Here is a 13,034-nt window from a genome sequence, read left to right as displayed (position 1 = left end):
AGTGGCACCCCACCATTTTCCAGTACAAAAAATCTATAGTAGTTTGCTATGGCTGTCATAGCAAATTACCACAAATGATGTGTCTTAAAACAACAGAAACTTATTCTCTTACAGGTTTGGAAGCCACGAGTCCAAAATAAGGTGTTGGCAGGGTCATGATCATGTTAAAGGCTCTAGGGGAAAATCTTTTCCATGCCTTTTTCTTAGCTTCTGGTGAACACTATAATCCTTGATGTTCCTTAAGTCTTAGATGCATCACTACAATCTCTGCCTTCAGCATCAAATGATGTTCTCTTTATGTGTATATCTGGGTCACGTCTCCACTTCTTATAAGAACACCAATGATATCAGATTAGGTCCCACTCTAATCAAGTATGACTTTATCTTAACTTGATTACATTTTCAAAGACTATTTTCAAATAAGATCACATTCACAGGCTAGGATTTCAACCTTTCTTCTAGGGGATACAGTTCAACCAATAACAGAGGCCAAACAAGAAAATGTTAATTAGTACCACTGGTTTTAAAAACATGAAAATTATTGGTGACCTCGACAAAAGCAATTTGTAAATGCTATGTGATATAAGAATCAACAGTATTACATGACTACCAAAATAAATAATGCACCGTAGTTTTACTATCCAAGGAAAAGACTGACATAATAATGTGCTATTATTTCTGGTCCAAGTGCACAGACACCACTGAATTTCATTCTGGCATCACAATATTAGAGTGTCTAGGAGGGTGACTAGGGTAGTTATGTCTGGAAACAGTGATATATGGTAAACTTATGTGTTTAGACTGGAAAAGACACAATTTAAGAGCCTTTGATAGCTATTTTTGATAGCTGTCTCTGAAACCTGATAAACTAGCATTTAGTTGAGAGATTAGGCTTATCTTGAATAACTTCAGAATATTGAGTTAATTGAACGTAAGCAAAGCATAGTTCATCCTAATATGAGAAAGAATTTAATCATTATAGGTGTCTACAATTCCCATGTGCTTATTTAAATGATAACAACCATTTTGTGAGTGGAGAACTTCTAACTGGGGCTAAATGATTGAAAACTGGAGCTGCTACAAAGGAAATCATGTGGGAAGTAAAAAAGTAAATTATGTTATCTTCAGTTTCTTGCAAATCATGTACAGATGCTCCTTGACTCCTGACGGAGTTACTTCCCAATAAATCCATTGTAAGTTGAAAATATTTGAAGTAAAAAATGCATTCAGTACTCCCAACCTTCTGAACATCTTTGCCTAGCCTAGCCTGCCATAAATGTGCTCAAAACACTCACATTAGTCTACAGTTGATGAAAATCATTCAATGCAAAGTCTATTTTACAATGAAGTATTGAATACTTCAGGTAATTTATTGATGTGCATGTTGCTTTTGCACAATCATAAAGTAAAAATATCCTAAGTCAAGTCATGACGAATTGGGGAGCATCTGTATTCTCATTCTTTTCAAAAATTCAGATGGCTCTTCAGCCTATTTTTAGCTATAAAAATTAAATAATAGATATAGAAATATAGGCATTTCCCCCCATCAGCTGTAAATTCACAACTAACTTAGTAATGCAAAAAGTATTCATTTGTTTATTAAAATAAAAATATCAGAAAAGATGCAGATATAATATTGTTGAAAATTTAGTAATAATTTAAAGCAGATGCTTGGCAAACTAGAAACAGAAAGTATCATTTTTAACCTGTGAGCTAGGCCAGATCCTAATGTTCATCTAGAAATAGTGCTGGACAGAATGAGAACTTGATCTCTTCTATGGTTACTTTCATTTTGTTTTATTCCCACTTTAACCAACAAACAATGTAAAGAGTCCACAGGAAATTAAAAATACACAACACAGGTGGATGCAACCTAAATGTCCACAGCTTCCTTATTTGTCACAGAAGCTCACTACCTCTTTTTATTGAAGAGGCTCAGAAAATAGGCTCTTTGTTTGTGACTGAGAATCATCAGCTTTCTTCACTAGGACTATTAATAGTTTGTGGTTTTGGATGGCCTACAACATGATAAAGAAAATCTATCAAAATTTACTAGGTACTTTACGCTAAAATTAAGAAGTTTCCCATTAAACTCAAGAGTATGACAAGAATGCTCGTTACCACTGCTGACATTCAACATCATACTTAAGTTTAAATTAGTGCAATAAGAAAAGTAAATAGGAGATACAAAGAATGGAAAAAGGAAAAATTCTATTATTTGCAGAGATATATTTACTTGTTTACACAGAAAACCCAAGAACAATCACAATCTATTTGAAAAAAGAAGATACTTTAGCAAGATTACCTAACACAAGGCTAATAAAGAAAAATCAGTAGCATTTCTAGATACCAGGTATAGCATGTTAGCACAGTCCATTCACAATAGCAACTAAATCTAAGGTTTTGATGTAAACAAAGATGTTAAAGATTTTGAAAGAGTATGTTGTTTGGTTATTTATTGCTGAATAGCAAACTACCCTGAAACTTAGTGGCTTAAAACTACAATCACTTATCAAACTTTTGAAGAATTTTAAGGAGGCAAGAACAAAATGAGAAAATGGCAGAATTGTAGCCAATGTGATCAAAGAAGTATCAGTGGCTCAGGTCATGTAGAGTCTTTTAACATACTAAAAACAAACAAACAAACAAAATCCCAAACTACCCATTTATAGTGAAATGGATAAATAAGACATGGAATATTCATAGCCTATAACCTCAGAAGTAATTAAATATTGACCTAGATATATAGCCAAATATTCAAATCAAAAAAATTTTTAAAAATAATTGAATAATGCATTCTGTATGCTAGTATCTGAGTGAAATTCTAAATCAAAAACACTAAAGATTACATGCATGCCAAATTCACGTAAGCATTTTGGTTGCCTCTGACAAGAATGAGACAGAAAGGAGACTGCAAAGAGTATTTTGCATATCTGTATTATGTTTACAATTTAAAAATAAATTTTTGAGGCAAATATAAAATTGTTTACATTTATTAATGCTAGGTATATTCTCTATTCATGTGTATGTATTTGTATATCAATGGGTATGAATGAATAAAAAATATAAATATATATGTTTTGCAATTTGCATTTAAATGCAAATACAGGTGCAATTTAAATAGTTCTAATGCAGAAGTACCATGTAAAATAATTACATTAGTTCATTTAATAATTTTCTAGTGATCCATGAAATGTCTAAACTTTTAATAGGAAATTACTTATGGAACAATACAATGTGTCTCACCAAAGAAACATATTGAGATGTAATGGGCCTAATTCTATGTGGTTTATCTACCAATGGTGAAATAAATAAATAATAAATAACTTCCTCTTCTCTTTCTTTTTTAATGGTGACTTTACTCCAGGACAAAAATGTTTTATGCATCTATTGTGATACAAAATACTGTTTTTTTTTCTTTTTTTTTTTTTTTTTTAATATGGAGGTTTACTATATTTTCTCAGTAGTTGGGTCTATGGTATGGAAGTAGCCATGGTTAATATGAACCACTTAAAATATTGTTAGTGCTTAACATTAATTCTTATTTCAAAAAAGAAACAATTTTAGGCAAATGAATATGCTATTTTAAGTATCTGAGCATGGTTTCTTAATAGCCTATCATCCAAAGCGCATTCACTTTATACTATTTTCTGGGGAGGCTAACAGATTTCTTCTGAGCTCTCTAGTTCTTCACTGTTAGGCTGAGGATCATGCTGGAAATATAGTTAACTGCAGTTAGGTATACAAATCAGTGAAATGTTTTGTTCTATAAAAAAATAAATATTTCATTGCCTTTTATTTCATTTTTTTCCAATAAGTTAATACTTCACATTCCATGTAGAAGTGTGTCCCAGTTTTCAAATGCTTATCTCTCTTTATTTATGCACTCATTCCTTTGTTACCCATGTATTCAATAAATATTTATTGAAACTTTATTCTGTTCTCAGCAATACTTTGGGCACTAAGTTATAGTGACAATTTTAAATTGACATGTATCCTTTCCTCTTGGAACACAGTTTCCTGCCAGAAACCAAGTTTATTCGAATAAATACAAAAGTGAATGTAAAACCAACAGTATTAAAAATGAAAGGTATGCGGTGATGTGAGAACATAGGAGGACATGACCTAACCTACGAGAGTAAGGGAGTAGGAGGAAATATTTAAATTTAGATCTAAATAATTAAAAGAAGTTAACTAGTAAAAATGGCAAATGACCAGAAAGATTGTCCCAGTACAAAAGGATAGCATGTGTTTGGGTGCACATATACAGCCTGTTTGTCCATCAATATAGAGGACTTATTAATAAAAGAATGACACTAATGTAACACTAGTGCCTCAGAACAATTATATTTACTGTCCCCTGAAATGCATTTCTCCTTTCTTCAAATATATTAGGCATATGGTCATATATCCTGTTTTCATAAAAATATTTCCTGTTTCTTCTAAAATAAAAATCAGAGAGTGATGTTAGCAAGATGGCAAGATGGCAGTCTTTGTCACCCTACAATAAACAATGACTTAACAATCCACAAATAATAATAACCCTGGGTAGGTTCAAGAGTCCAATTAAGAGCAACAGCAAAACATTGGAGCAGAAAACAGAAAAAACAAACATAAGGGATTACTAGGCATACCTGACATCTGGAAACAGCTAGAAACAAAGAAGGGTGAGGACTATCAGTATCAGCTATACAATGGGTGCCACCACGATTCCTGGTGGCCTACTCTGCAGAGGGCTGTGGCAGCCTTTGTTACAGAGAATCTCAACAGCCCATGCAGCATCTATGGATTCCTCACAACTTTTACAGCAAAAGTTCCCTTAGCATTTATCAAAACAGACCCTAGCAGCCTACTCCACAGAGGACATCTGCAGCTTTCTCCACTGAAGTAACCAACAGCCACTGCTGTCGCAGTTCCCCCAGAGAAGAAGATGCTGCTTTGCCCCTCCACATCCAAGCAGGAACTGCTGTTGTGTTGCCACATGACCAGTGTTGCCATCCCCCCAACCAATACTTACCAAAAATCCTGAAGCCATACCTGTTTTGTGTATGCTCAAGCTCAAGACACTGGCTCGGTAGTTAACACTGCAAACACTGCAGCACTGCGTATCAGACATCAGTGCCAACGCCACTGTGAGCACAACTGTGAGCCAGAACCCACACCAAGAGAGATACCCTTGACCAAGGCTTTCCTCATGAGAAAAGAAAAGAGAATAGGAAGACCCCAACAGCCTTTGCCACCGAAAACCCTAACAGCCCTCACCAACACTGCATACACTGACTGGCTTAGCTGCTGAGGACTCTTGCAACCTTCACTGATACTGACTTCAAATGATGAAGCTATACAGAGACTATGCTGCCACACCTTCACTGGAGCCAGAACAGCTGCATCCCACCCAGTTAGCACCCAGTGCACCAAACATTCTCCAGAATAGATAATATGTTAGGAAACAAAACAAGTCTTAACCAATTCAAGAAAGTTAATATATTAAATATTTTCTCTGACCACAATGGTACAAAACTGGAAACCAACGGAAAGAGGAACACTGAAAAATTCATAAATACATGTTAATTCAACAATGTGGTCCTGAACAATCAATGGGTCAAAAAAGAATTCAAAGGGACAATTAAAACATATCTTGAGACAAATGAAAATGGAAAACACAGCTTACTAAATCTTACAAGATGCAGCAAAAGCAGTTCAAAGAGGGAAGTTTATAGTGATAATGGTCTAATGAAGAAAAAAAAAGATCTCAAGTAAACAACATAACTTTACACCTCTGGAAAGTAGAAAAAGAAAAAAAAGAAAACAAACTAATACCAAAATTAGTAGAAGAAAATAACAAAGATGTAAGCAGAAATAAATTATATAAAGACTAGAAACACAATAGGACAGTAGGAGTTTTTCAAAGATAAATGAAATTAACAAATTTTTAACTAAACTAAGAAAAAAAGAGAGCAGAATCAAATAAATAAAATCTGAAATAAATGAGGAGACATTACAAGTGATACCACAGAAATACAAAAAAAAACCATAGACTACTAAGAAAAACTGTATGCCCCGAAGTTGATAAACTAGAAAAAAAAAAAAAAAAGGATACATTCTGAGAAACATACAACCTCCCAAGGCTGAAATATGAAGAAATAGATCTCTGAATAGAATGATAACAAGTAAGGAAATTGAATCAATAACCAAAAATGTCCCAAGGACCAGATACTTTCACTGGTAAATTCTATCAATTATTTAAAGGAAAAACCAAAATACCACCTATCATTCTCAAACTCTTCCAAAAACTTGAGAAGAATGAAATACCTCTAAACTTATTTTAAAATGCCAGAATTGCCCTAATACAAAAGCCAGACCAGAAGACTACCAGAAAAGAAAATTACAAGCCAATATGCCTGATGAACATAGATACAAAAATTCTCAAAAAAATACTAGCTAACTGAATTTAATAGTACATTAAAAAGATCATTCACCATGACTAAGCAAAATTTATTCCTGGGATGCAAGGATGGATTAACATATGCAAATCAATAAATGTGGTACACAATATTAACAAACTGAAAAATAAAAAGATAATCATCTCAAAACTGCACAAAAGCATTTCACAAAATTAGATATTATTTCCTGATGAAAACGCTCATCAAATTAGATATAGAATAAATACACCTCAAGGCTGGATGCATTGGTTAACACCTGTAATCCCAACACTTTGGGAAGCCGAAGTAGGTAGATCATTTGAGGTCCAGAGTTCAAGACCAGGCTGACCAACATGGTGAAACTCTGTCTCTACTGAAAATACAAAAATTAGCTGGGCATCGTGGCACTTACCTGTATTCCTAGCTAATTGCAAGGCTGATGCAGAAGAATCCTTGAACCTGGAAGGCGGAGGTTGCAGTGAGCAAAACCACGCCATTGCCCTCCAGCCTGGGAGAAAGAGAAAGACTCTGTCTCAAAATAAATAAATAAATAAATAAATAAATAAATAAATAAATAAATAAATGTTCCTCAACACAAAAAAGGCCATATATCACAAGCCCACAGCTAATATCATACTCAATGATGAAAAGCTAAAACCTTTTTCTCTAAGATCAGGATTAAGACAAGAATATCCATTCTCCCCACTTACATTCAACACAGTATTTGAAGACCTAGCCAGAGCAATTAGACAATAAATAAATAAATAACATTCAAATAAAGAAGTAAGAAGTAAAATTGCCCTATGGCAGATGACATGATCTTATATATAGAAAAACCTAGATGTCAAAAAACTGTTAGAAATAAAAAGCAAATTCTGTAAAGATACAAGATACAAATTAATATACAAAAATCAGTTGCATTTCTATACACCTACAAAGAACTATCCCCCCCACTCCAGATTAAGAAAACAATCCATTTACAATCACATCAAAAAGAGTAAAATACATAAGAACAAATTCAACCAAGGGGAAAGACTGTATGAAGGGGTGGCCTGCCCCTCCACACCTGTGGGCGTTTCTCGTCCGGTGGAACAAGAGACTTGAGAAAAGAGACACAGAGACAAAGTATAGAGAACGAAAAGTGGGCCAAGGGGACCAGCGCTCAGTATACGGAGGACCGGCACTGGCACCAGTCTCTGAGTTCCCTTAGTTTTTATTGATCATTATTGGGCGTTTGTCACAGAGTGGGATGTGGCAGGACAATAGGGTAATAGTGGAGAGAGGGTCAGTAGGAAAACATGTGAACAAATGTTTCTATATCCTAAACAAGGTAAACAAAAAAGTGCTGTGCTTTTGATGTGCATATACATAAACATCTCAATGCCTTAAAGAGCAGTATTGCTGCCAGCATGTCCCACCTCCAGCCCTAAGGCGGCTTTCTCCTATCTCAGTAGATGGAATATACAATCAAGACATTCCATTGCCCAGGGACTAGCAGAGACAGATGCCTTCCTCTTATCTCAACTGCAAAGAGGCCTTCCTCTTTTACTAATCCTCCACAGCACAGACCCTTTAGGGGTGTCAGGCTGGGGGATGGTCAGGTCTTTTCCTTCCCACGAGGCCATATTTCAGACTACCACATGGGGAGAAACCTTGGACAATACCTGGCTTTCCTAGGCAGAGGTCCCTGCGGCCTTCCACAGTGTATTGTGTCTCTGGGTACTTGAGATTAGGGAGTGGTAATGACTCTTAACAAGCATGCTACTTTCAAGCATTTGTTTCACAAAGCACATCCTGCACAGCCCTTAATCCATTTACCCTTGAGTTGACACAGCACATGTTTCAGGGAGCACAGGGTTGGGGGTAGGGTTACAGATTAACAGCATCTCAAGGCAGAAGAATTTTTCTTAGGACGGAACAAAATGGAGTCCCTTATGTCTATTTCTTTCTACATAGACACAGTAACAGTCTGATCTCTCTTTCTTTTCCCCACAATTGTACACTAAAAAAATATAAAACATTGATAAAATCAATTGAAAAAGACACAAATAAATTGAAAGATATACCATGTTTATGAATCAGGAGACTCATATTGGCAAAATGCACATACTACCCAAAGAGATCTACAGATTCAATGCAATCCCTATTAAAATTCCAATGAGGCTGGGCACGGTGGCTCATGCCTGTATTCCCAGCACTTTGGGAGGCCGAGGCAGGTGGATCACGAGGTCAGAAGATCGAGACCATCCTGGCTAACACAGTGAAACCCCGTTGTCAGGCCTCTGAGCCCAAGCCAAGCCATCGCATCTCCTGTGACTTGCACATATATGCCCAGATGGCCTGAAGTAACTGAAGAATCACAAAAGAAGTGAAAAGGCCCTGCCCTGCCTTAACTGATGACATACCACCATTGTGATTTGTTCCTGCCCCACCTTAACTGAGTGATTAACCCTGTGAATTTCCTTCTCCTGGTACAGAAGCTCCCCCACTGAGCACCTTGTGACCCCGCCCCTGCCCACCAGAGAACAACCCCCTTTGACTGTAATTTTCCATTACCTTCCCAAATTCTATAAAATGGCCCACCCCTATCTCCCTTCGCTGACTCTCTTTTCGGACTCAGCTCTCCTGCAACCAGGTGAAATAAACAGCCATGTTGCTCACACAAACCCTGTTTGGTGGTCTCTTCACACAGACGCGCATGAAATTTGGTGCCGTGACTCGGATGGGGGGACCTCCCTTGGGAGATCAATCCCCCCGTCCTCCTGCTCTCTGCTCCGTGAGAAAGATCCACCTATGACCTCAGGTCCTCAGACCGACCAGCCCAAGAAACATCTCACCAATTTCAAATCCGGTAAGTGGCCTCTTTTTACTCTCTTCTCCAACTTCCCTCACTATCCCTCAACCTCTTTCTCCTTTCAATCTTGGCGCCACACTTCAATCTCTCCCTTCTCTTAATTTCAATTCCTTTCATTTTCTGGTAGAAACAAAGGAGACACATTTTATCCGTGGACCCAAAACTCCGGCGCCGGTCACGGACTGGGAAGGCAGCCTTCCCTTGGTGTTTAATCATTGCAGGGACGCCTCTGATTATTCACCCACGTTTCAAAGGTGTCAGACCATGCAGGGACGCCTGCCTTGGTCCTTCACCCTTAGCGGCAAGTCCCGCTTTTCTAGGGGAGGGGCAAGTACCCCAACCCCTTCTCTCCGTGTCTCTACCCCTTCTCTGATTTTCTGGGGCAAGGGCAAGAACCCCTCAACCCCTTCTCCTTCCCCTCAGTGGCAAGTCCCGCTTTTCTAGGGGAGGTGCAAGTACCCCAACCCCTTCTCTCCGTGTCTCTACCCCTTCTCTGCTTTTCTGGAGGGGGGGGCACGTACCCCAACCTTGTATCTCTGCACCCTGATCCCTTATTTCCATGCCCCAACCTCATATCTCTGCACCCCGACCCCTTCTCTGCTTTTCTGGAGGGCAAGAAACCCCCACCCCTTCTCCATGTCTCTACTCTTTTCTCTGGGCTTGCCTACTTCACTATGGGCAAGCTTCCACCTTCCATTCCTCCTTCTCCCTTAGCTTGTGTTCTTAAGAACTTAAAACCTCTTCAGCTCTCACCTGACCTAAAATCTAAGTATCTTATTTTCTTCTGCAATGCCACTTGACCCCAATACAAACTCGACAGTAGTTCCAAATAGCCAGAAAAACGGCACTTTCAATTTTTGCATCCTACAAGATCTAAATAATTCTTGCCGTAAAATGGGCAAATGGTCTGAGGTGCCTGACGTCCAGGCATTCTTTTACACATCGGTCCCTTCCTAGTCTCTGTGCCCAGTGCAACTCATCCCAAATCTTCCTTCTTTCCCCTCCCGCCTGTCCCCTCAGTCCCAACCCCAAGCATCACTGAGTCTTTCTAATCTTCCTTTTCTACAGACCCATCTGACCTCTCCCTTCCTCACCAGGCCAAGCTAGGTCCCGATTCTTCCTCGCCTCCGCCCCTCCACCCTATAATCTTTTTATCGCCTCCCCTCCTCACACCTGGTCTGGCTTACAGTTTCGTTCCGTGACTAGCCCTCCACCACCTGCCCAGCAATTTACTCTTAAAAAGGTTGCTGGAGCCAAAGGCATAGTCAAGGTTAATGCTCCTTTTTCTTTATCCCAAATCAGAAGTGTTTAGGCTCCTTTTCATCAAATATAAAAACCCAGCCCAGTTTATGGCTCGTTCCACAGCAACCCTGAGACGCTTTACAGCCCTAGACCCTAAAAGGTCAAAAGGCCATCATATTCTCAATATACATTTTATTACCTAATCTGCTCCCGACATTAAATAAAACTCCAAAAACTGGAATCTGGCCCTCAAACCCCACAACAGGACTTCATTAATCTCACCTTCAAGGCGTACAATAATAAAAAAAAAGTTGCAATTCCTTGCCTCCACTGTGAGACAAACCCCAGCCACATCTCCAGCACACAAGAACTTCCAAACGCCTGAACCACAGCAGCCAGGAGTTCCTCCAGAACCTCCTCCCACAGGAGCTTGCTACAAGTGCCAGAAATCTGACCACCAGGCCAAGGAATGCCTGCAGCCCAGGATTCCTCCTAAGCCGTGTCCATCTGTGCGGGACCCCACTGGAAATCGGACTGTTCAACTCACCTGGCAGGCACTCCCAGAGCCCCTGGAATTCTGGCCCAAGGCTCTCTGACTCCTTCTCGGCTTAGCAGCTGAAGACTGACGCTGCCCGATCACCTCGAAAGCCCCATAGATCATCACAGACGCTGAGCTTCGAGTAACTCTCACAGTGGAAGGTAAGTCCGTCCCCTTAATCAATATGGAGCCTACCCACTCCACATTACCTTCTTTTCAAGGGCCTGTTTCCCTTGCCTCCGTAACTGTTGTAGGTATTGACGGCCAGGCTTCTAAACCTCTTAAAACTCCCCAACTCTGGTGCCAACTGAGACAATACTCTTCTAAGCACTCTTTTAGTTATCCCCACCTGCTCAGTTCCCTTATTAGGCCGAGACACTTTAACTAAATTATCTGCTTCCCTGACTAGTCCTGGATTACAGCTACATCTCATTGCTGCCCTTCTTCCCAATCCAAAGCCTCCTTTGCGTCCTCCTCTTGTATTCCCCCACCTTAACCCACAGGAATAAGATACCTCTACTCCCTCCTTGGTAACTGATCATGCACCCCTTACTATCTCATTAAAACCTAATCACCCTTACCCCGCTCAATGCCAATATCTCATCCCACACCATGCTTTGAAAGGATTAAAGCCTGTTATCACTTGCGTGCTACAGCATGGCCTTTTAAAGCCTATAAACTCTCCTTACAATTCCCCCATTATACCTGTCCTAAAACCAGACAAGCCTTCCAAGTTAGTTCGGGATCTATGCCTTATCAACCAAATTGTTTTGCCTATCCACCCTATGGTGCCAAACCCATATACTCTCCTATCCTCAATACCTCCCTCCACAATCCATTATTCTGTTCTGGATCTCAAACATGTTTTCTTTACTATTCCTTTGCACCCATCATCCCAGCCTCTCTTCGCTTTCAGCTGGACTGACCCTAACACCCATTAGGCTCAGCAAATTACCTGGGCTGTACTGCCGCAAGGCTTCACAGACAGCCCCCATTACTTCAGTCAAGCCCAAATTTCACCCTCATCTGTTACCTATCTCAGCATAATTCTCATAAAAACACAGGTGCTCTCCCTGCTGATCGTGTCCAATTAATCTCCCCAACCTCAATCCCTTACAAAACAACAACTCCTTTCCTTCCTAGGCATGGTTAGTGTGGTCAGAATTCTTACACAAGAGCCAGGACCGCACCCTGTAGCCTTTCTGTCCAAACAACTTGACCTTACTGTTTTAGCCTAGCCCTCATGTCTCCGTGCAGCGGCTGCTGCCACCCTAATACTTTTAGAGGCCCTAAAAATCATAAACTATGCTCAACTTACTCTCTACATTTCTCATAACTTCCAAAATCTATTTTCTTCCTCATACCTGATGCATATACTTTCTGCTCCCCGGCTCCTTCAGCTGTACTCACTCTTTGTTAAGTCCCACAATTACCATTGTTCCTGGCCCAGACTTCAATCTGGCCTCCCACATTATTCCTGATACCACACCTGACCCCCATGACTGTATGTCTCTGATCCACCTGACATTCACCACATTTCCCCATATTTCCTTCTTTCCTGTTCCTCACCCTGATCACGCTTGATTTATTGATGGCAGTTCCACCAGGCCTAATCGCCACACACCAGCAAAGGCAGGCTATGCTATAGTACAAGCCACTAGCCCGCCTCTTAGAACCTCTCATTTCCTTTCCATTGTAGAAATCTATCCTCAAGGAAATAATTTCTCAGTGTTCCATCTGCTATTCTATCTGCTATTCTACTACTCCTCAAGGATTATTCAGGACCCCTCCCTTCCCTACACATCAAACTTGAGGATTTGCCCCCTGCCCCCGCCCCCGGAACTGGCAAATTAGCTTTACTCAACATGCCCTGAGTCACAAAAACTAAAATACCTCTTAGTCTAAGTAGACACTTTCACTAGATAGGTAGAGGCCTTTCCTACAGGGTCTGAGAAGGCCACTGCAGTCATTTCTTCCC

At 39.7% G+C, this 13,034-nt stretch overlaps 1 annotated feature.

Moving 5' to 3' along the window:
* Positions 8,004 to 8,505: an enhancer, noted in NCBI's record as "OCT4-NANOG-H3K27ac hESC enhancer chr1:80167937-80168438 (GRCh37/hg19 assembly coordinates)". NCBI's record gives its function as "activates a minimal SCP1, AML or CMV promoter by ChIP-STARR-seq in naive H9 embryonic stem cells {active_cell/tissue: H9 hESC(naive)}" and the evidence as "EXISTENCE:reporter gene assay evidence [ECO:0000049][PMID:30033119]".

This window comes from Homo sapiens, chromosome 1, assembly GCF_000001405.40.
Source record: "Homo sapiens chromosome 1, GRCh38.p14 Primary Assembly".
Classification (NCBI taxonomy): Eukaryota; Metazoa; Chordata; class Mammalia; order Primates; family Hominidae; genus Homo; species Homo sapiens.
Note: the sequence above shows the minus strand (reverse complement) of the source record. Positions and strands in the feature narration are given on the sequence as shown.